Source organism: Homo sapiens, chromosome 19, assembly GCF_000001405.40.
Source record: "Homo sapiens chromosome 19, GRCh38.p14 Primary Assembly".
In the NCBI taxonomy this organism is placed as follows: domain Eukaryota; kingdom Metazoa; phylum Chordata; class Mammalia; order Primates; family Hominidae; genus Homo; species Homo sapiens.
In genome coordinates this window covers 2,971,607-2,996,715 of record NC_000019.10, presented here as the reverse complement: position 1 = coordinate 2,996,715, position 25,109 = coordinate 2,971,607, and the positions used below count along the sequence as shown (strand labels likewise).

Sequence of the window (25,109 nt, the reverse complement as noted above, 5' to 3'; positions counted from 1 at the left end):
CTGGGGCTCACACCTGTCATCTGAACACTTTGGGAGGCTGAGGCGGCAGGATTGCTTGAGCCCAGGAGTTTGAGACCAGCCTGGGCAATAGTGGGACTCCATCTCTAGAAAAAAAATTTAAGGCAGCATAGGTTGGGCGGAGTAGATGCCGCTGGGAACATTCTAGAAGGAGATGGGAGGGTTCCTGCTGAGAACAGAAGGCACGCCCTGGTGGATGTTTCTGGAGACACCGCAGGAAAGGGGATAATTCTCTGGGTTAAGGAGCCTAGGCCCGTTGACATCTGGGCCCCTTCATAGCTTGGAAAAGGGAGGGTGGGCAAGTGGCGTTTCCAGAGCCCTAGCTTGTGTGGGAAGAAGGCCGACCAGTGAAGCTATTGGAAATTTGTTTCGACCTTAGCACTGTGGACCTCGGGACTGGACCATCCTCTGGGGTGGGGCCGTCTTGGGCACCACAGAATGGTGAGTAATGTCCCTGCCCCCACCCACTCCATGCCAGGGGGACCCCACAAGTCGTGACAACCAGAAATGCCTCCAGACATCGCCTAGAGTCCCCGGGGGGCAGAATCACCCTACTGGAGACTACTGGTCAAATGGGACATGTCTAGGACAGGACCACTCACACTGCTCCTGGAATCACACCAGAAACATCGGACCAGATTGGAGCTGCTCCGGGCGGCGGAGGTGGAGATCTGCTACCCCAACAGCAAAGTCTGTGGCTGTGACTAGATTCCCAGAGAACGAGGACGGAAACGGCTCAGAGGGCTGGGCACGGTGGCTCATGCCTGTAATCCCAGCACTTTGGGAGGCCAAGGTAGGAGGATCGCTTAAATCAGGAGTTTGAGACCAGGCACAGTGGCTCACGCCTGTAATCCCAGCACTTTGGGAGGCCGAGGTGGGAGAATCACATAAAATCAGGAATTTGAGACCAGCCTGGGCAACAGAGCAAGACCCTGTGTCTACACAAAATTTTGTTATTTCTATTAATTTGAGACAGAGTCTCGCTCCGTTGCCAGGTTGGAGTACAGTGGCACGATCTTGGCTCACTGCAACCTCTACCTCCCGGGTTCAAGAGATTCTCCTGCCTCTGCCTCCTTAGTAGCTGGGATTACAGGCACGTGCCACCATGCCCAGCTAATTTTTGTATTTTTAGTAGAGATGGGGTTTCACTGTGTTAGTCTCAAACCCCCGACCTCAAAGTGCTGGAATTACAGGTGTGAGCCACCACACCCAGCATCTACAAAAAAATTAAACTAGCCGAGCACGGTGGTACATATATGTAGTCTCAACTACTCAAGAGGCTGAGGCAGGAGGATGGCTTGAGCCCAGGAGTTGGAGAGGCTGCAGGGAGTCGTGATGGCACCACTGCACTCCAGCCTGCATAACAAAGTGAGACCCTGCCTCAGAAAAAAAAAAAAAAAAAAAAAAAAAGGCTTAGAGCCACCAGGCTGGACGAAGTCCTTCCAGATTTCCACAAGTTGAGCAGGGACGGGATGGGAAGGCCCCTTTCCCTTCAGAGGACAGGACGCGTCCACACTCTGCCTTTCCCGGGTGCTTTATTACACGTGATGGCGACCAGTCTACACCACAGACTAGATCGTGCGATGCCACAGAAGAGCCTTCCCGCTTCCCTCCACCATGTCCCCCTTGTTGGGGGGGGGGAAGGGGGGGGATGAAAAGAGGAGCCGGAGTGGGATGACAGCAGCGAGGCCCCTCAGTAGGTGATCTGGTACACGGAGGCGTGCTCCCCGGAGCCTGTGACAACGAGGCGGTTGTTGGAAGAGACGTCACAGCACGTGACTGGAGACATCTCAGGCACCTGGAGGGGGGGCAGTGGGCAGTGAGCTGGGGTAGGGCTCACACACCCCTGGTCTCCACCTGTCAGCTCAAGCATGAAGCATCGTCTCTTCAAAGAAAGACAGGGTCTTGCTCTGTTGCCCAGGCTGGAGTGCAGTGGTGCAATCTCAGCTTGCTGCAGCCTCGACCTCCTGGACTCACACAATCTTCCTGCCTCAGCCTCCCAAGTAGCTGGGACCGCAGGTGTGCACCACCACACTCAGCTAATTATTATTTTTAATTTTAAAAGTGTTTTTAATTATTATTATTATTTTTTTAGATGGAGTCTCTGTCACCCAGGCTGGAGTGCAGTGGCACAATCTTGGCTCACTGCAAGCTCCGCCTCCCTGGCTCACGCCATTCTCCTGCCTCAGCCTCCCAAGTAGCTGGGACTACAGGCGCCCACCACCACGCCCAACTAATTTTTTGTATTTTTAGTAGAGACAGGGATTCACCGTGTTAGCCAGGATGGTCTTGATCTCCTGACCTCATGATCTGCCCGTCTCGGCCTCCCAAAGTGCTGGGATTACAGGCGTGAGCCACCGCACCCGGCTCAGCTAATTATTTTTTGTAGAGATGGGGTCTCACTATGTTGGCCAGGCTGGTCTCGAACTCCTACACTTAAGAGATCTTCCTGCCTCAGCCTCCCAAAATGCTGGGATTAAAGCCGTGAGCCACCACACCTGGCTACTTTTTAAGTTTTTTGTGGAGACAGGGTCTTGCTGTGTTGCCCAGGCTGGTCCCTTTGGGGCCACCCCCGGGTCCTGCCCCCAGCCCACCGCAGTACCTCGAACACTTTTGTCCCCGCCGGCATGCTGTAGACGCCAAGGAAGTCGTCCATTCCAACGCTTGCCCACCACTGGCCTGGGAGAAATGGAGCATCAGCGAGACTTAGAACCACTACCTTTTTCCTTCCCAGAGTTCATCCTCCCCACCCACCTTTTTTTTTTTTTTTTTTTTTTGAGACAGGGTCTCACTCTGTCACCCAGGCTGGACTACAGTCAGTGGTATGATCACAGTTCACTGTGGCCTCAGCCTCCCCGGGCTCATGGGGACACCAGTGGCTGAAGGGGGAAGGGCGGAGGCGGACCGCGCCGGTGGGGCGGGTGGGGAGGAAGGGCCCAGGCACCCACCCCCTTCCCTCCCTCATTCCACTATAAGAGCATCCCCAAAATTGGTTTCTGCTACAGAAGGGTTCTGAGGTGTCCTAGAGGGTTGGGTGGGGAGCTGGCATTAGGTGGGGTCTTGTGGGAGGCTGGGGGCTGCAGGGGAGTCCCCTCATCTTCCGCCAGCCGCTTACCAAAGGGGGAGAACTTGACGCTCAGGATGACGCTGTCTTTTTGCCCCACCATGTGCCGCTGGCTCCCGCTGGTGCTTTGCAGCCACTGCTGGCCATTGGCCATGCCCAGCAGCACCCAGTCCTCCTGGGGGCTGTGGGACAGGCTCATTATCTAGGTAATGGGCAGTGGGGAGGGAGGAACCTGGTTAGGTCCCAGCCTGGCCCAGGAAGCAGGCAGGAGCCTGGGGACCTATCCTGGAGGCCGGGTGACTGACCCCTTCCTAGCTGTGCAGCCCTGGGACAAGCAACTTCGTATCTGTGCCTCAGTTTGTTGGTGTGTAAAATGGAGAGTCTTCCCTACTTTGCACCTGATACAGCATGAGTGTTTATTTTGAGACGGAGTCTCGCTCTGTTGCCGGGCTGGAGTACAATGGTACGATCTCGGCTTACGACAACGTCTGCCTCCTGGGGTTTAAGCGATTCTCCCGCCTCAGCCTCTTGAGTAGCTGGGACTACAGGCATGCGCCACCATGCCTGGCTAATTATTCTGTTTTTTTTTTTTTTTTTTTTTTTTTTTAGTAGAGACGGGGTTTCACCATGTTGGTCAGGCTGTTCTTGAACTTCTGACCTCAAATGATCCACCCGCCTTGGCCTCCCAAAGGGCTGGGATTACAGGCGTGAGACACTGCGCCCGGCCTGCAAAGAATATTTCTAATGATCTCTGTGTTTGGAGCATCAGTGAGACTTAGAACCACTACCTTTTTTCCTTCCCAGAGTTCATCCTCCCCCCCCCCCACCCGCCTCCCCCCCTTTTTTTTTTTTTTGAGACAGGGTCTCACTCTGTCACCCAGGCTGGACTACAGTCACTGGTATGATCACAGTTCACTGTGGCCTCAGCCTCCCCGGGCTCAAGCCATTCTCTCACCTCAGCCTCCCAACTAGCTGCGACCCCAGGTACGTGCCACCATGCTCAGCTAATTTTTATTTTTATTTTTTGTAGAAACAGGGTCTCACTATGTTGCCCAGGCTGGTCTCAAACTCCTGGGCTCAAGTCTTCCTCCCACTTCTGCCTCCCAAAGTGGTGGGATTGCAGGCATACGCCACTGTGCCTGGCCAACCTCATTTGTTTTTGAGACAGAGTTTCGCTCTTATTGCGCAGCCTGGAGTGCAATGGCACGATCTCGGCTCACCACAACCTCCACCTCCCGGGTTTAAGCGATTCTCCTGCCTCAGCCTCCCGACTAGCTGGGATTATAGGCATGTGCCACCATGCCTGGCCAATTTTGTATTTTTAGTAGAGACGGGGTTTCACCATGTTGGTCAGGCTCGTCTTGAACTCCCGACCTCAGGTGATTTGCCCTCCTCGGCCTCCAAAAGTGCTGGGATTACAGGTGTGAGCCTCTGCGCCCAGCTCTGATTTTTGTATTTTTAGTGGAGATGGGGTTTCACTATGTTGGCCACGCTGGTCTCAAACTCCTGACCTCAGGTGATCCACCCACCTTGGCCTCCCAAAGTGCTAGGATTATAGGCGTGAGCCACGGAGCCCGGCCTCAACCTCATTTTTTAATCTGAGGACCAGAGGATGCCTGGCCAAGCAGACCCCATCCCGGCCTCCGCACCTGAGACTTGAATTGGTACTCCAGAGGTTTCATGATGGTCCTCTGGTCCCAGCACCGCAGACAGGCATCCGGACCCCCAGTCCAGATGTTGTAGCCCTTGACCACGATACTCTTGACTCCATCAGGATAACCCTTGAGGTCCCTGGCCAGAAGGGACATCGGGAGGCAATCAGGTCAAGACTCTGAGGTTTGGGCCCCCGGAAACACCAGTCACTACATTTGGGCATGAAAGGGACAGTGCCACCACCCAAAAATCTCTGCCTGCACAGAGTGTCAAAGTTGGCAGAAAACAGACACAGGATCTAGTGCCGGCCCCTCCCAGCCCTCAGCCTCCCTTCTCCGTCCGCCTGGGCCTCCCCTTGGCCTCACCTAGGCCTCCCCTTGCCTCTTCCACCCTGAGTCCACCCGAGCTCTGAGGCAGGTCTACAGGAATCCCTTCAAGCAGGGAAGGGGAATAGTGCCGGGCGGGTGGTGTGCTGTATTTTACGTCAGCCATTGCTTCCTGCAAACATATGCTGATAGATATCTTATATGTTATAAATACATATATTATATATATGTGTGTGTGTGTGTGTGTGTGTGTGTGTGTATATATATATATATATATACGTATTTTTTTTTTTTTTGAAATGGAGTCTCGTTTTGTTGCCCAGGCTGGAGTGCAGCAGCACGATCTCAGCTCACTGCAACCTCTGCCTCCTGGGTTCAAGCGATTCTCCTGCCTCAGCCTCCCGAGTAGCTGGCATTACAGGCATGGGCCACCACGCCTGACTAATTTTGTATTTTTAGTAGAGATGGGGTATCTCCATGTTAGCCTGGTCTCAAACTCCCGACCTCAGGTGATCTGCCCGCCTCGGCTTCCCAAAGTGCTGGGATTACAGGCATGAGCCACCATGCCCAGCCTATTTACATATATTTAATATGTGTGTGTGTATACATATATGTATGTATGTATGTATGTATGTATGTATGTATGTAAAATTTTTTTTTGAGTCAGAGTCTCACTCTGTGACCCAGGCTGGAGTGCAGTGGCACCATCTTGGCTCACCACAAACTCCGCTTCTCAAGCGATTCTCCTGCCTCAGCCTCCGGGGTAGCTGGGATTACAGGCATGTGCCACCACGCCGGCTAATTTTCATATTTTTTAGTAGAGAGGGGGTTTCGCCATGTTGGCCAGGCTGGTCTTGAGCTCCTGGCCTCAAGTGATCCACCCACCTCGGCCTCCCAAAGTGCTGGGATTACAGGTGTGAGACACCGCACCCAGACTGTTTTTTATATATGTATATATTTATGTATATATTTATGTATATATTTATGTATATATTTATGTATTTATATATATATTTATTTATATATGTGTGTATTTTTTTTTCTTTTTTGAGACAGAGTCTTGCTCTGTCGCCCAGGCTGGGAACGCAGTGGCACAGATCTCGGCTCACCGCAAGCTCCGCCTCCCGGGTTCAAGGGATTCTCCTGCCTCAGCCTCCCGAGTAGCTGGGACTACAGGTACCCACCACCGCGCCTGGCTAATTTTTTTGTAGTTTTAGTAGAGACAGGGTTTCACCGTGTCAGCTAGAATGGTCTTGATCTCCTGACCTCGTGGATCTGCCTGCCTCGGCCTCCCTAACTGCTGGGAGTACAGGCGTGAGCCACTGCGCCCGGCCAATTTATATATACATATTTTTAAATAGACTATATAAAAATTCTATTTAATTTTTATTAAATAAAATTTATTCTATTTAATAAAAATAGAATAAATTCGTTTTATTCATTACCCAGGTTAATCTCGAATTCCTGGGCTTAAGCATTTGTCCCGTCTTGACCTCCCAAAGTGCTGGGTTTACATGTTTGAGGCACCAGGCCTGGCCTGCTGTTTTATATTTTTACAACAAATTTGCCCTCTAACAAGCCTTTGAGTTTGGGGCTGTCACATCCTGTGTCCAGGTGGGGAAACTGAGGCAGACAAAAAGTAAAATGCCCTGGGCTGCAAGGAACGCAGTCCAGCCAAGATTCAAGTCCGCACCTCTAAACTTTCTCAAATCCAAGTTCAAGGGGGCAAGGGGTTTTGGCTGGGAGAGTGCTATATCCCAGGTTCAGGAGGTGGCAGGAAGGCGGGCAGAGGTGGTAGCAGTAAGGTGGGCAGAGGTGGCCACAGGAGGCTGGCACAGGATGCTTCCCCTTCCCACCCCCCAAACGCACCTGACCACACTCTGATCCCGCAGGTCCCAGATCCTGACCACACCACTGGTGAAGCTGGCGAAGGCCAGGTTGGCATCCAGGTTGGCATCCAGGGCCTGGCAGTTGAGACCTGCACAGGGCAACTGCTCCTTCACATGCAGGGAGGGCGCCGCCAGGTCCCACACGCTCACGCTGGCCAGGTTGTAGCCACCGGTGAGCAGGCTCCTGCTGTTTGAGGACAGCAGGCAGGTGCGCAGGAAGGCCCCAGGGGTCTGGGATGGGCAGAGTCACTGTGAGCTGTCGCCCCCCGTGGCATTCTGCCTGGACTGCTTTGCCTCATGAGAGCGAACTCCTATTCATCCTTTAGGTTCCTAGCTATTATGCCCCTTTTCCCTGGAAGCCCTCTCTCCACGATCTGGGCTCTGCCAGACTCAAACCTCAAACCCCCTGTTCCCAGAAGCCCTGCATCCCTGGAAACCAAGGCCGTCCTCACCTGTATAGGCAGGTGGCTCTCAGGGAACCTGTCCTCAGCCACCTGTCCAGTCAGGCTCCACACCTTGATGCCTCTTCTGCCACAGGTGAACACGTGCCGCGTGAAGCTGCTGATGGCCGTGGCGAGCACGAGCTCCCCGTGTGCCAAGATCCGCATCTTTTCCAGTTTGCACGGGACGGCGAGTCTCTTTGACTGCCCGGGCAAGGCATCTGGCCTCTTCCATGCATCTTCAAAGTCCTCAGGGTCCCAGGATCTTGGGAGGGGAGGCCTTGGGGTAACTGACCTGCTTGTGAGCCCCTTTGCCCAGTGGGAGCCACACATCAAGGCCTAGAGGGGCTTCTTTTTCAGATTTTGGGGTCCCTCTCTCAGGCCTTGTTTTACCCTCTAGACTCCCCTCAATGTCCTGCTCATATTCCTTCAAGTATTGTCCCTTTGCCACAGCCCTCCACATACTTCTGCCTTCTTCCTAGACTGCTTTGCCCCAGGAGGAAGAACTCCTATTCATCCTTTATGGTCCTAGCTATTATGCTCCTTCCCCAGAAAAGCCTTCTTTGCCCCACCTGGGTTCTCCCAGCATCACTCCACAAGGTTGGGACAATCTGCATCCAGTTCTAACACAGCTACACCCCATCCCCTTCCATGAAAAAGTCTTCCCCAAATGCCTTGAGCCCAGTGTTGGGGCGGCGATCCTGTGAGCCTAACACTGCACTTTTTTTTTGAGACGGAGTCTTGCTGTCACTCAGGCTGGAGTGCAGTGGCGCGATCTCAACTCACTGCAACCTCCACCTCCCGGGTTCACGCCATTCTCCTGCCTCAGCCTCCCGAGTAGCTGGGACTAAAGGCACCCACCACCACGCCTGGCTAATTTTTTTTGTATTTTTAGTAGAGACGGGGTTTCACCGTGTTACCCAGGATGTTCTCAATCTCCTGACCTCGTGATCTGCCCGCCTCGGCCTCCCAAAGTGCTGGGATTACAGGCGTGAGCCACCGCGCCCGGCCTAACACTGCACTTTTCTACCCAGCCTCTGCAGCGGCTGTTGGAGAGGATGGCAGAGTAGTGATGGGAAAAGGGGAAGAAAGTCTTACACCTCTGTTCCCCTCTATGTGTCGGGAACAGAGGTATAGACAGGAAGGAATTCCCGCTGCCCCTCACCCCGCCCAAAAGCAAACAGTGCAGACACTTACATGGACTGTAGAAACCGAGAGGCTCTTCCAGGAGGCTCCTGCAGGCGGGGGAGATCACAGCTGCCCCCAGCCTCCCCGCACATCTGTGCCCACCTCCTCTACCCCACCCTGGGCAGCCTTCACGCTGGGCTACCAGCTCGGGCCTGGGTCTCACCTGGACCACACCCCAACTTGTGTTCCTGTCTTGGGAACCCTCAGGGGGACTGGAGGAGGCCTCAGGTGGCCTGGGGGCTAGTGGGGAGACAAGAGGGGCTAAGCGGCTTGCATTGGCTCCTCAGCACAGGATGCCCCCACCCCATCCCGCCTGGAGTCGGTCGGCCCCTGCCCGCTGGGATTACTGGAGGCATCTTCAGGACATGGGTCTGTTCCTGGGTCACAGGATCCTGGTGCCTTGCTTTCCTGCCCCTGGAAAATGGAAAAGTCTCATCAGGCCTGCTGACCTGCCTGTTAGGACCAGAAGACCTCGGATTCCTGGGCAGCTTGCACAGGGCTTGTCAGCTGCCTGGGGTCCTGTCTGCGGGTCCAGGCAGAGTTGCAGAGAGAGAGTCAGGGTATAGGGTCCTGGAAGCCCTGGGCTGTGGGTCCTGGGCTACTCCAGTATAGCCTCCTGGATCACCCAAGTCCCCCCCGGGGGACCCGAGGGGCAGGATGGAAGGAAGACAAATCCCACAGGAACCCCAGTGCCCTGACCTGGGGGAGCCCAACCGCCTGCCCGGAAGCCCACCCCTCTGGATAGAGCTGAGGTTGTTTACTCACCAGGCCTGGTGCCTGCTCTGTCACCATGACAACGGAGAGGAGGAGGGGGACAGAGAGAACAGCAGGGTTCACTGCACAGCCCCTGAGACGCAGCCTGTGGCTGCCCCTTCCCCCTCACCCTCAGGGACACTCACGTCTGTCTCTGGGCTTTGCCTTCTCATCGTGGACGCCGGCAAAAATCCGCCAGAGTTGCTCGGTCAGAGTGTCGTGCCAAAACCAAGGCTCCTTGTCCCAGAACAGCTGGGTCTCCGGCTGATTGTCCTCCCCCAAAGGCCGCCGGAGCCAGTCGGAGGACCTGGTGGCCATGATGTCCTCAAAGCTCGACTCCTGCAGGGTCTTGTCCTTCACCTGCTGGGGCGTCCCAGGGCTGGCTGGTTCAGCAGGTGAGACCTGGCCCGGCAGGAACAAGGCAGTGAGAGCTTTGAGGATGAGCCTTCACCCAAGCCTGTCCCCTCCCCTCCTTGAAGACCCAGAAACTCACCTCCTCAGACTGGAAACCCTGGAGTTGGCTGCAGCTCTCCACAATCTGTAAGACGTTTCCTATCTAGAAGGAGGTTGGCAGCAAAACAGTTAAATGTTGTTGCAGTTAAGGGTTTGCAATCCTACAGCATGATTATCCCCACCTGTAGAAGAAGGTATATCAATCTACTTGTTTTTTTGAGACAGAGTCTCACTCTGTCACCCAAGCTGGAGTGCAGTGGTGCAATCTCGGCTCACTGCAACCTCCGCCTCCCAGGTTCAAGTGGTTCTCCTGCCTCAGCCTCCTGAGTAGCTGGGATTACAGGTGCACACCACCACACCCAGCTAATTTTTGTATTTTTAGTAAAGATGGGGTTTCACCATGTTGGCCAGGCTGGTCTCCAACTCCTGACCTCAGGTGATCTGCCCACCTCAGCCTCCCAAAGTGCTGGGATTATAGGCATAAGCCACCACCCCCAGCCTTCATCTACTTTTTTGCAGATAAGATCTCACTCTGACACCCAGGCTGGAGTGCAGTGGTGCGATTACAGCTCACTGCACCCTCAACCTCCCAGGCTCAAGTGATCCTCCCATCTCAGCCTCCTGAGTAGCTGGGGTTACAGGTATGCACCACCACGCTCAGCTAATTTAAATACACTTTTTGTAGAAATGGGAGTCTCATTATGTTGGCCAGGCTGGTCTTGAATTCCTGGCCTCAAACTATCCTCCCACGTGTGCCTCCCAAAGTGCTGGGATAACAGGTTTAAGCCACCGCATCCGGCCTATCGCACCTGGCATATATCTTTTTTTTTTTTTTTTTTTTTTTTTTTTTTTTTTTTTTTGAGACAGTCTCACGCTGTGGCCCAGGCAGGAGTGCAGTGATGTGATCTCGGCTCACTGCAACCTCCGCCTCCTGGGTTCAAGCAATTCTCCTGCCTCAGCCTCCCAAGTAGCTGGATTACAGGCGTGTGCCACTACACAGACTGATTTTTGTATTTTTGGTGGAGACAGGGTTTCACCATGTTGGCCGGGCTGGTCTTGAACTCTTGACCTAAGATGATTCTCCTGCCTTGGCCTCCCAAAGTGCTGGGATTACAGGTGTGAGCCACCACACCTGGCCCCAGCTACTCTTTTTGGGATGTTTTAAAAAGAAAACCTGACCACCACCACACTTTGCTTCAAATGACTTCAAGCAGGCCGGGTGCGGTGGCTCACGCCTGTAATCCCAGCACTCTGGGAGGCCGAGGCGGGCGGATCATGAGGTCAGGAGATTGAGACCATCCTGGCTAACATGGTGAAACTCCATCTCTACTAAAAATACAAAAAAAAAAAAAAAAATTAGCCAGGCATGGTGGCAGGTGCCTGTAGTCCCAGCTACTCGGGAGGCTGAGGCAGGAGAATGGCTTGAACCCAGGAGGCGGAGCTTGCAGTGAGCCCAGATGCGAGATGATGCCACCGCACTCCAGCCTGGGTGACAGAGCGAGACTTGTCTCAAAAAAAAAAAAAAAAAAAAAGGCTTCAAGCAGCAAAACAGCATACCTAGGTCTCCCTAGGTGAGGAAGACGTTTTAATTTGCTTAAACTTTGGAAAGATACTAAGAAACTGAGGGTTACCTGCTGGGGAGAATTGATAGAAACAAGTCAGTGGTAATTTTTTTTTCTCTTTTGAGACAGTCTTGCTCTGTCGCCCAGGCTGGAGTGCAATGGCACCACCTCTGCTCACTGTAACCTCTGCCTCCTGGGTTAAAGCAATTCTCCTGCCTCAGGCTCCCAAGTAGCTGGGATTACAGGCACCCGCCACCATGCCCAGCTAATTTTGTATTTTTAGTAGAAATGGGGTTTCTCCATGTTGGCCAGGCTGGTCTCGAACTCCTGACGTCAGGTGATCTGCCCACCTCAGCCTCCCAAAGTGCTGGGATTACAGGCGTGAGCCACCTCACCCAGTCTGGTGTTTTATTTAAAACGAACAAACAACAACAAAAATCAAGCCATCTGACCACTGTCAATCCCGAAGTTAAATGTAGTTTCTCAGTAAACAGAATAAAATCGAGATCAATACCATCCAGTACAAGTAGAATTGGAATAATACATAAATATAGTCATGCATATGGAATGTCTAGTAGCCATGTTCAAAGTATAAAGAAATTGGCCAGGTGCGATGGCTCACACCGGTAATCCCAGCACTTTGAGAGGCTGAGGCGGGCGGATCACCTGAGGTCAGAAGTTCGAGACCAGCCTGGCCAACATGGCAAAACCCTGTCTCTACTAAAAACATAAAAGTTAGCCAGGCATGGTGACACACACCTGTAATCCCAGCTACTTGGGAGGCTGAGGCAGGAGAATCACTTGAACCCAGGAGGTGGAGGTTGCAGTGAGCTGAGATCCTCCCACTGCACTCCAGCCTGGGAGACGGAGCATGATCCGTCAAAACAACAAAAAAAGAAAGCAAGGCGAGTGATCCTATCTCTTAAGTTTTTTTCTACAAAAAGGCTACCTGTCTGTTTCCTTAGCAGGACGGCGGAGGGAGGGGCCGGGAGGGGAGACCCTCCATCGGAGCCCCGCGGGGGGGGGGGGACTCCAGGCTGATGCCTCCTGGGGCAGCCAGTGATGGATTTCCCAGCTGAGCCCGCCCAGCAGCAGCAAATCCCAGGGGAGCCCTCTCCAATTCACCCCGCCTCGTTAATGCGCAATTTACCGGCACTTTAATGCGCTCAGCATGAAAAGTGTGGCTCCCTTGTGCCTGCTAGCAGCCCTCCCGGGGGAGAGTGGCAGGCGGGCTGTCGGAGGAGGGGGCTGTGCTGATGGCGATTTTGAAAGCACAGCGAGGCGGCTGGGAAAGCCCGGAACTGGAAGCAGCGGGTGGGGGAAGCGGACTGCCCAGGACCACAGGCCAGGCTGGGCTGCCAGGGATCCTGGGGCCCCCTGCAGTGGGGGCTGGGCAGGGACCCTCCTGGGTCTGGCTGCAACCGAAGTGGCTCCTTTGCTCTGGAGCCCTCACCCCCTGCGTATCCTGATGCTCAGCAGCTGCGGTCAAGTTCCTCCCAAAACACGTCCACAATTATTCAATTACTTCTCATCACTAAGCAACCAGCATTCCACACCTGGACTGTCCTAACTGGTTCCCGGGCTTCTGCCCTCATCCCTCCTCCTTCTTCTCTGTCCTCTCCGCAGTAGCCAGGGCCTGCCCTCTGTCTGAAGCCCTCCATGGCTCCCACCTCCCTCCCTCAGGGTTCAAAGCCCAAGTCCTCCCTGAAGCTCACAGGGCCATGCGTGGCCTGCCCTCCCCCCCTCCTCCTCTCACTCTGCTCCAGCCATGCGGGCTTCCTCGTAGTGCCTTCAGGACCAACACAACAGGCACCGTCCTGCCTCAGGGCCTTCACACAGGCTGTGCCCTCTGCCTGAAATATCCCTCCCATCCCAGACAGCCACACTTCCTCTTTGATGTCCTTTAAGCCTCCGCTCAGATGTCACCTTCTCGCATGCCTTCCCTGACCACCCTGAATTGCAACCCTCGCCCACCCTGGCCTCCCCAATCCCCTTGGGGCTGCTCTCTTCCATCCCCCGCCTTGCCCAGCCCTCATCCCCTAACACTCCATCTACCAGGCTCCACTCGCCCCAAGGGTGGGAAGCTCTGCGTCGTTCTTTGCTATTTTCCTGGCTTCTACAACAGTATTTGGCAAGGAGGTGATGGATAAATATCTGCTGAATGAATAACCATGTTTTGGTTGCTTCCTGGCCCCCCCTCACCCTGTTCCCTTCGCTGCCCCCCTCCTCCCAGGCCCTGCTAAGTTGCAGACACGGCCCTGGGCCCCTGCCAGTTACATCTGGCACAGGCGGAAAATCCTGCCAGCGCCTGGGAGAAAAGGCCAGGTGGCGGGAGGACAGGCAGGGCTGGAAGGCGTACTTCTGCTTGGGCCAGGCGCCCTGGGCTGGGAGATGGGAGCCCGGGCGCCCCCTCCCATGCAGAGCTCCCCTCACTCCCATGTCATATGGCCCCTCATTGAACACTCAGACACGCAGGGGAACACAGCCGGGTGCCTGCCCCATCACAGGCTCTCTCTGTCCAAAGCAACTGACCGGCAAAGGGTCATCTAGGTTGCGCAGGGGCCCAGGGAGCGGAAGGAGCAGGACTGACCCTCTCTTGGAAGCAGCTCAGAGACAGGACAGGAGATGCTCCCCAAGATATGGGGCCTCCACTAATATCACGGGGGCTTCCAAGTCAGGGCATGTCCCTCCTCTGCCAGCAGTCCTCCATGGCTCCCACCTCCCTTGGGGTCAAAGCCCAAGTCCTTCCCACGGCCCACAAGGCTCAGCATGACCTACCCCTCGTCCTCTGTCTTCACCATCCCCCACCTCCTTTTTTTTTTTTTTTTTTTTTTGAGACAGAGTCTCGCTGTCGCCCAGGCTGGAGTGCAGTTCCACGATCTTGCCTCACTGCAATCTCCACCTCCCGGGTTCAAGCAATTCTCCTGCCTCAGCCTCCCAAGTAGCTGGGACTACAGGCGCCCGCCACCACGCCTGGCTAATTTTTTTATTTTTAGTAGAGACGGGGTTTCACCATGTTGATCAGGCTGGTCTCGAACTCCTGACCTCAAGTGATCCACCCTCCTCGGCCTCCCAAAGTGCTGGGATTACAGGTTTGAGCCACTGTGCCCGGCCCCCCTCTGTGCTTTCTCATGCCTTTCATGGAGGGACAGCCGCACCCCTGAGCTCCTGGTCACCCACCTGCTTGTGATGTTCTGCCACATCCTGCTGGATCTTGTGCAGCTGCAAAGGGAAAACAGAGATCCCATCGGGAGGTGGTCCGGGTGTGAATGCTGTGTGACCCTGGGCAAGCTGCTCTACCTCTCTGGCCCCTACTCCCCCACCTTAAATTTTTGTTTTCACCTTGTTTTCTCTTTTACTTTCTTACTACACTGATGTATGGTCCCTACCTTTTTTTTCCTCAGAGAGAGTCTTGCTCTGTTACCTGGGCTGCAGTACAGTGTGATCTCAGTTCACCGCAACCTCTGCCTCCTGGGCTCAAGCGATTCTCCTGCCTCAGCCTCCCGAGTAGCTGGGAGTACAGGCACCTGCCACCATGCCCGGCTAATTTTTGTATTTTTAGTAGAGACAGGGTCTCTACTATGTTGGCCAGGCTGGTCTCCAACTCCTGACCTCAGGTGATCCACCTGCCTCGCCCTCCCATAGTGCTGGGATTACAGGCGTGAGGCACAGTGCTTGGCGGAAAAGAACCTCTCTAGGGCACTCAGGAGGCAGGGCCGGGAAACCAGGGCCTCAGCTTGTCCCAGTGGGGCCCTCCTTGGTTGGGGCTGCCTGGGTCTGGCTCACCGAGTAGTAAATGCTCTCCAACTCCGCAGCAAAATGAGGAGAAAACCTGAGGGGGAAGGAGGACAGGCTGGAAGACCTGTGGCTTCAGGACTCCCTCCCCAGAGTGAGCCCCACCCTCAACCCCTAGGGAGGGTCTCAATGAAGCTGGAAGGCACTGGCTCCAGAAGCCAAATTTAAGGCAGTGTCAAGAAGTTCAGTAAGATTTTAATGCAGTATATTCTTTTTTTTTTTTTTTTGAGACAGAGTCTCACTCTTGTCACCCAGGCTGGAGTGCAGTGTCACTGCAACCTCCGCCTCCTGGGTTCAAGAGATCCTCCTGCCTCGACCTCCCGAGTAGCTGGGATTACAGACACCTGCCACCACACCCAGCTATTTTTTTGTATTTTTAATAGAAACAGTGTTTCACCATGGTGGCCAGGCTGGTGTCAAACCCCTGACTCCAGGTGATCCGCCCACCTCGGCCTCCCAAAGTGCTGGGATTACAACAGGCTTGAGCCACCGCGCCCCGCCACTTTCTTCAATTTTTTTTTTTTTAAACAGAATCTCACCCTGTTGCCCGGGCTAGGGTGCAGTGGTACAATCATGGCTCACTGCAGCCTCCAATTCCTGGGCTCAGATGATCCTCCTGCCTCAGTCTCCTGAGTAGCTGGGACTACAGGTGTGCACCACCACACTCAGCTAGATTTTTTTTATTTTTTAAGAGATGGCATCTCGCTATGTTGCCAAGGCTGGTATTGAACTCCGGGCTCAAGCGATCTTCCTGCCTCTGCCTCCCAAAGTGCTGGGATTACAAGTGCAAGCCACTGCACCCAGCCCATGCAGTACTTTTTTTTTTTTTTTTTTTTAAAGACCGAGTCTCACTCTGTAGCCTTAGGCTTGAGTGTAATGGTGTGATCCTGGCTCACTGCAACCCTCCGCCTCCTGGGTTCAAGAGATTCTCCTGCCTCAGTTTCCCAAGTAGTTGGGATTACAGGCACCCACCACCAAGCCTGGCTGATTTTTGTATTTTTTGTAGAGACGCGGTTTCACCATGTTGGCCAGGCTGATCTTGATCTCCTGACCTCAAGCAATCCGCCCGCCTCCGCCTCCCAAAGTGCTGGGATTACAGGTGCGAGCCACCATACCCAGCCGTTGCAGTATTTTTCAACAATAAAATTGAATGCCAACAAATCCATGTCGAACAGGAAAATCAAAATTTTAATATTTGTTGGTAATTTTGTTTAATCAAAAGCTGGGATGGGTATTGCCGGGTTCTCCATGCTGGGTATCTGCATGGCTTCCTGTTCCTGAGCCTGGCTCTTGGGCCAGCAGCCTCTAGACCACTCACTAGGACCCCCGGGAGAGAGGCCAGGTGGGGCTCCTTCCCAGCGTGAGACCTCCGGCCCCTGGAATTGCTCTCACCTGGGGAACTGCTTGAGCCGATTTAGAATGCCCTGATAATTCAGCGTCGGAGAGCTCTCAGAGTTCGAGATCCCAGGACAAGGCTGGAAAGGTCAAAGCAAGGTTACATAAAACTTACAATGCTCCAACACCCAAGACCCCCGGTCTCCACCTCAACATGGCATAGGCATTAGGTTGGTGCAAAAGTAATTGTGGTTTTTGCTTTTTTTTTTTTTTTTGGAAACCGAGTCTTGCTCTGTCGCCCAGGCTGGAGTGCAGTGGCACAATCTCAGCTCACTGCAAACTCTGCCTCCCGGGTTCAAGCGATTCTCCTGCCTCAGCCTCCCGAGTAGCTGGGATTACATGCGCCCGCGCCCCCCTCCCCCGCCCGCCCCCGGCAACACACCTGGCTTATTTTTGTATTTTTAGTAGAGATGGGGTTTCACCATCTTGGCCAGGCTGGTCTCAACCTCCTGACCTCATGATCTACCCGCCTCGGCCTCCTAAAGTGCTGGAATGACAGGCATGAACCACCGCGCCCGGCCTCTCTTATTTCAGTAAAGAGCATCTTCCATTTTGCACTTTGGCCTAAAGTCTAAAATGTTCACCACATTCTTGTGATGAAAATAGAAGCACAAAATATTTTTAAAAATAAAAGTCCGGGCAAGGTGGCTCATGCCTGTAATCCCAGCACTTTGGGAGGCCGAGGTGAGCAGAACACCTGAGGTCAGGAGTTTGAGACAACCCTGGGCAACTCAGCAAAACCCCGTCTCTACTGAAAATACAAAAATTAGCCGGGCGTGGTGGCGCGCACCTGTAATCCCAGCTACTCGGGAGGCTGAGGCAGGAGAATCACTTGAACCTGGGAGGTGGAGGTTGCAGTGAGCCGAGATCGCGCCACTGCACTCCAGCCTGGGCAACAAGAGCAAGACTCAATAAAATAAAGTCTCTTGGCCAAGTGTGGTGGCTCACACCTATAACCCCAGCACTTTGGGAGGCTGAGGCAGGCAGATCACGAGGTCAGGAGCTCGAGACCAGCCTGGCCAACATGGTGAAACCCAGTCTCTACTAAAAATACAAGAAAAATTTGGTGGTCATGGTGGCAGGTGCTTGTAGTCCCAGCTACTCGGGAGGCGAGGCAGGAGAATCACTTGAACCCGGGAGGCAGAGGTTGCAGTGAGCTGAGATTGCGCCATTGCATTCCAGCCGAGGTGAGTGTGAGACTCCGTCTCAAACATAATAAAATCATAAAGTCTCAAAACAAAATATCCCTCATCTGACTCCTTTACAAAAAAAAACGTCTGCTCAGCCCTGAGAGCCTAAATTTACAAATGGTCATCTCTGGGACGCAAAGTGCAGGGAGCGGGGATTGCTTGTAAAACATCAACCAAATACATGATGTGTTCCTGTGTTTTTATCACATATGTGATTAGATGCTACATTTTTTTTTAGATGGGATCTCACTGTCACCAAGGATGGAGTGCAGTGGCACCATCATAGTTCACTGCAGCCTCAAACTCCTTGGGCTCAAGCCAACCCTCTGCCTCAGCCTCCCAAGTAGCTGCAACTACAGGCCCACGTCACTAGGCCCAGCTGATTCTTCTAGTTTTATTTTTTACAGAGACAGGGTCTCACTACGTTGTCCAGGCTGGTTTCAAACTCCTGGGCTCAAGTGGTCCTCCTGCCTCGGCCTCCAAAAATGTTGAGATTACAGTTGTGAGCCACAGTGTCCAGCCTACACTTAATTTTTTTTAAAAAACACGGCTCCTTGGCACCTGTCTTGAGTGTAGCAGCGACCAGTATTGTCTTCAGCTGCGAGGCCTGGGCGGGGCCAGCCCAGGTCACAGGTGGAAAAGGGGCAGAACCACATTGGGCCCGGGTTTCCCTTGAGGGCTGATCCCACCACATGCCCTCCTCACCGAAGTGCTTTTCGGGGGGCCCTTGGGTCTGGGCTGGTCCCTAGAGGTCATCTTCAAGGCAGTAGCCTCCAAGACTTTAGCCAGAGTCTAAAACAACAAGGAGACGGCAGGTCTTGAGGGACAGAAAATAAGGCAGTGCCAGGGAAGCAAGGCACCCGTTACCCCACCCGCACCTCCCAGTTTGGTAAGTCTCCAGGGACCCAATCCTGCGGTTCTCCCATGCGTTCCCTAGGTCCTGTCCTCACTTATCAATGCCTCCAGCTGCCCAGATTCATGGGGGCGGGGACCCAGAAAGAACTGAGCCTTGCCTCCCAGGCCTCACCCTAGGAGGCTGGGGTGGATAGTGCACATACACTCCCTGCTGGGGGCAGTCAGGGACGGGGGAGCCCAGGGAAGGTCGCCAAAGCTCAACCTTAGTTTTGAGACAATTTCCTAAAGCGCAGGGAGATCACTAGAAAGGGGTTTTGAAGGATGACTAGGAGTTAGCCAGGTGCATTAGGCGGAATTCATCAGACAGAAGAAACGACCTCTCTCCACCTCCATCCCTGCTGCAGCACCCAGCTTCTTCCTTGCCTCAGTCCTGCCCCTCCACGCCCCTGCAGCCCCTTCCCCGGCCGGGAATCCTGGAGTCCCCCCAGCCCCCTAGAACACGCCTGGCAACTCACGTCCCTCACCGGGCGGAAGCTGCGGAGGTCAGCCAAGTTCAGGCCAAGAGGAAACTCCTCCTTCCCCCACCGGGGGCCATTTGACCCATCGGGCCCCGCCTCGTCCCGCCTTGTCCCCGCCCCGTCCCGCCCAGGCCCCACCCAGCCGCCACCTGGACCGCGAAGCAGATCAATGAAGGCGCAGTAGCTGCACGTGGGTTCGGGCTCCGGGGGGGGCAGGCCTCTGGCGGCGCCGGCCAATAGCGAGGCCGTTTACGCACGTGGGTCGCGTACGCCCTCCCTGATTGGTCGGCTCTCCCCGGCCGCCGGCCATGCTGTCACTCAGCGAGCCGGGAGCCTCTGCTTTACCCTTTCGGTCCCGCTGCCGGGAAGGGCGGACTTGCAGAGCTATAGGCAATTTGGGGTCCCAGCGGGGGCGGGGATATTTAGGAGGGCGTGGGGCTTGAGGCTCAGAGGCTGGAACTTGGGCAGGGATAGGTGGCGAGTAGTTGCATTGTTTTACGCATTTTTAGCCTTGTCCGGAAGTGGCTTATGGCTGGAGGTGAGGAGTGGGAGGTGGGTGGGTTCAATCTTTAGCGCTGTCACCCCAATTCTTAGATACGGGCTAATTACATTTTCCTCAATATTAAATAACGTGCAATGCAAACGAAGCTTCAAGTCCTCTTTCTGGAGCCAACTTACTGGGTCCCCTTGATGGTCCCAGCCCCGGGCTATGCATTTATCACCGAATTTTCCCAACTGCTCTTCCAGCCCAGTGACAAAGGCTCTGAGAGCAGAAAGCGGGACAGCAGAGGCCCTGAGGCTGATACAGTATTGCCGGATGCAAGCGCGGGGTGGGAGAGAGTGGTGGGTATTCCAGACGGAGGGAATAGCGGAACCTCTCAGGCAGAGCTGGGCTGGTTACAGGAGCAGCCAGGGAGGCTAACGGGGCTGCGTGCACTCCGAACAGGCCTGGGATGATTTCCGAGAGGTAAGTGGGTTGCTGCAGAGCGAGAGAAACCTGCTGTGTGGGGTCGTGGGGATAGGAGTAAGGGGATTTCGGAGTTTTGTTTTGGCCTATTCAAAATATGAAGCCAAGTCACCATGGCTCACACCTGTGATCCCAGCATTTTGGAAGGCTGAGGTGGGAGGATTGCTTGAGGCCAGGAGTTGGAGACCAGCCTGGGCAACACAGTGACACCGCGTCTCTACAAAAAATTTAAAAATTAGCCAAGTGTGGTGGTCATGCACCTGTAGTCTCAGCTACTGGGGAGGCTGAGGCAGGAGGATGGCGTAAGCCCAGGAGGTTGAGTCTGGAGTGAGCTATGATCGTGCCACTGCACTCCAGTCTGAGCAACAGAGCAAGACTCCATCTCAAAAAAATATATAGCTATAATATATATAAAGTATATATATTATATATATAGTGGTCAAGCTGCAGTTCTGGAGTGAGAGCCCGTTTCTTTCTGTTTGGCCCAGGACCTGGTACTGGCATTAGCAGTTCACTCTGCCAGGGACAGTCTCTCTCAGACAGCCACCGGCTGGCTCCTTACTCCCTCAGCTCCCTACTTAGAAATCACCACGTTGGGCCAGGTGCTGTGGTGCACGCCTGTAATCCCAGCACTTTGGGAGGCAGAGGTGGGTGGATCATCTGAGGTCAGGGGTTCGAGACCAGCCTGGCCAACATGGTGAAACCCCAGCTTGGCCGGGTCACACCTGTAATCCCAGAACTTTGGGAGGCCGAGGCGGGTGGATCACGAGGTCAGGAGATCGAGACCATCCTGGCTAACACGGTGAAACCCCATCTCTAATAAAAAATACAAAAAAATTAGCCGGGCGTGGCGGTGGGTGCCTGTAATCCCAGCTACTGAGGAGGCTGAGGCGGGAGAATGGCGTGAACCCGGGAGGCGGAGCTTGCAGTGAGCCAAGATTGCGCCACTGCACTCCAGACTGGGCGACAGAACAAGACTCTGTCTCAAAAAAAAAAAAAAAAAAAGAAAACCCCAGCTCTACTAAAATACAAAAATTAGCCAGGCATGGTGATAGGCACCTGTAGTCCCAGCTACTCTGGAGGCTTAGGCAGAAGAATCACTTGAACCTGGGAGGCGGAGGTTGCAGTGAGTCGAGATTGTGCCACTGCACTTCAGCCAGGGTGACACAGCAAGACTCTGTCTCAGAAAAAAAAAAAAAAAATCACCACATCAGGCCAGGCGTGGTGGCTCACGCCTGTAATTCCAGCACTTTGAGAGGCCGAAGCAGGAGATCACTTGAGGTCAGGAGTTCCAGACCAGCCTGGCCAACATGCTGAAACCCTACCTCTACTAAAAATACAAAAATCAGCCGGGCACGGTGATGCACATCTGTAATCCCAGCTACTTGAACCTGGGAGGCAGAGGTTGCAATGAGCCAAGATGTCGCCATTGCACTCCACCCTGGGCGACAGAGTACTCTGCCTCAAAAGAAGAAAAGAGTTCATGACCAGCCTGGCCAACATGGCAAAACCCCATCTCTACTAAAAATACAAAGGTCAGCTGAGTGTGGTGGCAGACGCCTGTAATCCCAGCTACTTGGGAGGCTGATGCAGGAGAATCGCTTGAACCCGGGAGGTGGAGGTTGCAGTCAGCCAGGATCGTGCCATTGCACTCTAGCCTGGGCAACAAGAGTGAAACTCCATCTCAAAAAAAAAAAAAGAAGGGAGGGAGGGAGGGAAGGAAGGAAGGAAGGAAGGATCTCATTGAAGAGACCTCCCAACCCTCCCTTCCCTTCCCTATATTTCCCTTTATTTCCTCTTTTTTTTTTTAAACACAGGGCGAGGGGGAGGGGAGTCTCAGTACATTGCCCCGGCTGGTCTTGAACTCCTGACCCCAAGTGATCCTCCCACCTCCACCTCCCAAAGTACTATGGATTACAGGCATGAGCCACTGTGCCGCCACCGGGCCTGTATCTCCCTTTCTTATTTTATTTTTTTCCGAATGTGGTTTGGATTGCAGCTAATCTTGTAATCTCAGTGGCTCCTGTGGCGGGAGCCTCCCACGATAGCTCTAAGCCCTGCATGTTCTAAATGCAGAGAATGCTGTCAGGATTCTCCTACAGAGACGCCTCCCATCCTCTGACCTCCCCATGTGACACAAATGCCCGATAGGTCTGCTGACTTCAGATCCAAACCCAGCCAGAGAAACTCTTCCCTGTTTTCTGTTCTGTGCTCTCTCGCTGCGGGGAACTGAGGGTTTCAATGCTGGGACAAGTAGCCCCCAGAGGTGGTGATGTGCACACGTGACTTGGGTTTTGCAGCTGGTCCATGGAGAACAAAGGGAGGGGCCGTCATGAAAGACCTGCAGAAAAGCTTCCCACCCACGAACCCTCCACTGTCCCATAATTATTATTTTTTAATTTTTATTACTTATTTTTTTGAGACAGAGTCTCTCTCTGTCCCTCAGGCTGGAGTGCAGTGGCGCGATCTTGTCTCACTGCATCCTCCACCTCCCAGGTTCAAGCGATTCTCCTGCCTCAGCCTCCCAAGTAGCTGGGACTACAGGCGCCCGCCACCACACCCGCCTAATTTTTGTATTTTTAATAGAGATGGAGTTTCACCATATTGGCCGGATCGGTCTCAAACTCCTGATCTTGTGATCCACCTGCCTTGGTCTCCCAAAGTGCTGGGATTACAGGTGTGAGCCACCACGCCTGGCTATTATTATTATTTTTTTGTGACAGAGTCTTGCTCTGTCGCCCAGGCTGGAGTGCAGTGGCACGATCTTGGCTCACTGCAACCTTTGCCTCCTGGGTTCAAGCGATTCTTCTACCTCAGCCTCCTGAGTAGCTTGGATGACAGGCGCCCGCCACCACACCACCTCCAGCTAATGTTGTATTTTTAGTAGAGATGGAGTTTCACCATGTTGGCCAGGATGGTCTCAAACTCCTGACCTCAAGTGATCCACTCATCTCGGCCTCCTAAAGTGCTGGGATTACAGGCGTGAGCCACTGCACCCAGCTGCATAATTAAAGTGTGTTTTATTTATGGTCCAGCCTCCTAATATGGGCTTTGCTTTTTCCCCTCCCTCTGATTGTAGACTTTCAGCTGGGCACGTTGCTTTATCCAAGACTCACAGGGTTGTCTCACAGGGTATCCAGTAAGCACATGTGGCTATTTAAGTTAAAATTAATTAAAATGAAATACAATTTAAAATTCCATTCCTCAGGCACCCTGCCCGCATGTCAGGCGCTCAGTCGTCACTGGCGTCTGGGGGTCACCGTACTGGACAGCGAAGATCTAGAACATTCTGTCATCACAGAAAGTCCCAGTGGACAGCACTGATTGGAGGCTCCTAGGAAAGAGAAATTCCTCCAGGGTCCATGTAGAAATCGGAAGCACATTTTCAGTAGTCATTCCATTTCTACTCTTTTTTTTTTTTGAGAAGGGGTCTCACTCTGTTGCTCAGGCAGGAGTGCAATGGTGCAACCTCAGCTCACTGCAACCTCCACCTCCCGGGTTCAAGCGATTCTTCTGCCTCAGCCTCCTGAGTGGCTGGTATTACAGGCACGTGCCACCACACTCGGCTAATTTTTGTATTTTTAGTAGAGACAGGGTTTCATCATGTTGGCCAGGCTGGTCTCGAACTCCTGACTTCAGGGGATCCACCCCCACCTCGTTCTCCCAAAGTGTTGAGATTACAGGCCTGAGCCTTTTTTTTTTTTTTTTTTTTTGAGACAGGATCTCACTCTTGCTCAGGCTGGAGTGCGGTGGCACAATCTTGGCTCCCTGCAGTCCCAACCTCCTGGGCTCAAGCAGTCCTCCCGTCTCAGCCTCCCAAATAGGTGGGACCACAGGTGCTTGCCACCCAGCACACCCAGCTCATTTTTGTATTTTGTAGGGACAAGGTCTTCCTGTGTTGCCCAGGCTGGTTTTGAACTCCTGGGCTCAAGCGATTCTCCTGCCTCAGTCTCCTAAAGTGCTGGGATTACAGGGGTGAGCCACAGAGACTGGTCCATTCTGTTTCCCCCTGCCTTTTTTTTTTTTTTTTTTCCGAGATGGAGTCTCGCTCTATCACCCAGGCTGGGGTGCAGTGGTGTGATCTTGGCTCACTGCACCCTCTGCCTCCCAGGTTCAAGCAATCCTTCTGCCTCAGCCTCCTGAGTAGCTGGGATTACAGGTGTGCGCCACCATGCCCAGCTAATTTTTGTATTTTTAGTAGAGACAGGGTTTTGTATTTTTAGTAGAGACAGGGTTTCACCATGTTGGTCAGGCTGGTCTCGAACTCCTGACCTTGTGATCTGCCCACCTTGGCCTCCCAAAGTGCTGGGATTACAGGCGTGAGCCACCAGCGTGGCCCATTTCTCCCTGATTTAAAACCCCCGTGAGTGGGGTTGGAGGGAATTCCCTGGAGTGTGGTCACCCTGGGTCCTTCCCTTTGGCTGTGCCCTGGCCACTCCAGCCCAGCCAGCAGGGAGCAATTTCCCTTGACCCCTCAGGGAGGAGACAGATGACACAGCAGACAGGAAGGAAGGAAGCCAATATTTCCTCCTTGTTCTTGGCTTTTGAGTTGTTTGGTTGACTTGGAAACTCAAAGTCTAGAAGGTTTGAGACAAAAGGCATTTGCATTCCAAATACTTTGGAGTTTTTGTTTTACACAAGCAAACTACCTTGCTGGGTGCCGTGGTTCATGTCTGCAATGCCAGCACTTTGGAAGGCCAAGGCAGGACGATCGCTTGAGCCTAGGACTTCAAGACCAGCCTGGGCAACAAAGTGAGACCCCATTTCTATAAAAAATAAAAAATTAGCCAGGCACGGTGGCACACACCTGTCGTCCCAGTTGCTCGGGAGGCTGAGGTGGGAGGATCACTTGAGCCTGGGAAGTTGAGCCTGCTCTGAACCGAGACTGTACCACTGCACTCCAGCCTGGGCAACAGAGCAAGACCCTGTGTCGAAAAAAGAATTGCGGCCAGGCGCAGTGACCCATGCCTATAATCCCAGCACTTCGGGAGGCTGAGGCGGGTGGATCACCTGAGGTCAGGAGTTTGAGACCAGTCTGGCCAA

General features: G+C 53.7%; 1 protein-coding gene across 9 annotated transcripts, besides 4 other annotated features; it reads right to left on the bottom strand.

Annotated features, from left to right (window-relative positions):
- On the bottom strand, positions 1,537-19,315 carry TLE6 (TLE family member 6, subcortical maternal complex member). Of its 9 annotated transcripts, none has more exons than XM_011528300.3 (17): positions 19,249-19,315; positions 18,432-18,518; positions 16,534-16,616; positions 15,133-15,178; positions 14,527-14,568; positions 9,825-9,887; positions 9,478-9,733; positions 9,344-9,360; positions 8,926-8,992; positions 8,742-8,818; positions 8,588-8,625; positions 7,403-7,655; positions 6,931-7,181; positions 4,732-4,873; positions 3,134-3,284; positions 2,621-2,697; positions 1,537-1,816 (listed from the first exon to the last, which is right to left on the bottom strand). In XM_011528300.3, the coding sequence occupies exons 2-17, from the start codon at positions 18,480-18,482 to the stop codon at positions 1,712-1,714; spliced, it is 1,719 nt and encodes a 572-aa protein (XP_011526602.1). In that variant the 5' UTR covers positions 18,483-18,518; positions 19,249-19,315; the 3' UTR covers positions 1,537-1,711. The 9 variants fall into 9 exon arrangements, 8 of the variants coding, with proteins under 8 accessions (XP_011526602.1, XP_005259702.1, NP_001137458.1 ...); XM_005259645.3 differs by lacking the exon at positions 19,249-19,315 and adding an exon at positions 19,097-19,152; NM_001143986.2 differs by lacking the exon at positions 19,249-19,315 and adding an exon at positions 19,106-19,152.
- Positions 12,188-12,704: an enhancer, noted in NCBI's record as "OCT4-NANOG-H3K4me1 hESC enhancer chr19:2984010-2984526 (GRCh37/hg19 assembly coordinates)". NCBI's record gives its function as "activates a minimal SCP1, AML or CMV promoter by ChIP-STARR-seq in naive H9 embryonic stem cells {active_cell/tissue: H9 hESC(naive)}" and the evidence as "EXISTENCE:reporter gene assay evidence [ECO:0000049][PMID:30033119]".
- Positions 13,223-13,739: an enhancer, noted in NCBI's record as "H3K4me1 hESC enhancer chr19:2982975-2983491 (GRCh37/hg19 assembly coordinates)". NCBI's record gives its function as "activates a minimal SCP1, AML or CMV promoter by ChIP-STARR-seq in naive H9 embryonic stem cells {active_cell/tissue: H9 hESC(naive)}" and the evidence as "EXISTENCE:reporter gene assay evidence [ECO:0000049][PMID:30033119]".
- Positions 13,740-14,258: an enhancer, noted in NCBI's record as "H3K4me1 hESC enhancer chr19:2982456-2982974 (GRCh37/hg19 assembly coordinates)". NCBI's record gives its function as "activates a minimal SCP1, AML or CMV promoter by ChIP-STARR-seq in naive H9 embryonic stem cells {active_cell/tissue: H9 hESC(naive)}" and the evidence as "EXISTENCE:reporter gene assay evidence [ECO:0000049][PMID:30033119]".
- Positions 19,121-19,430: a silencer, noted in NCBI's record as "silent region_9819". NCBI's record gives its function as "represses an Ori minimal core promoter by ATAC-STARR-seq in GM12878 lymphoblastoid cells {active_cell/tissue: GM12878}" and the evidence as "EXISTENCE:reporter gene assay evidence [ECO:0000049][PMID:35858748]".

Bases quoted from the DNA above. Each gene is read 5' to 3' on its own strand.
- TLE6 (XM_011528300.3), bottom strand. From the start codon at position 18,482: ATGACCTCTAGGGACCAGCCCAGACCCAAGGGCCCCCCGAAAAGCACT. The intron at 14,569-15,132 runs GTGAGCCAGACC...TTCCCTTTGCAG, and splicing joins TGGAGAGCATTTACTACTCG to CTGCACAAGATCCAGCAGGA. The intron at 2,698-3,133 runs GTAAGCGGCTGG...CATTTCTCCCAG, and splicing joins CGTCAAGTTCTCCCCCTTTG to GCCAGTGGTGGGCAAGCGTT.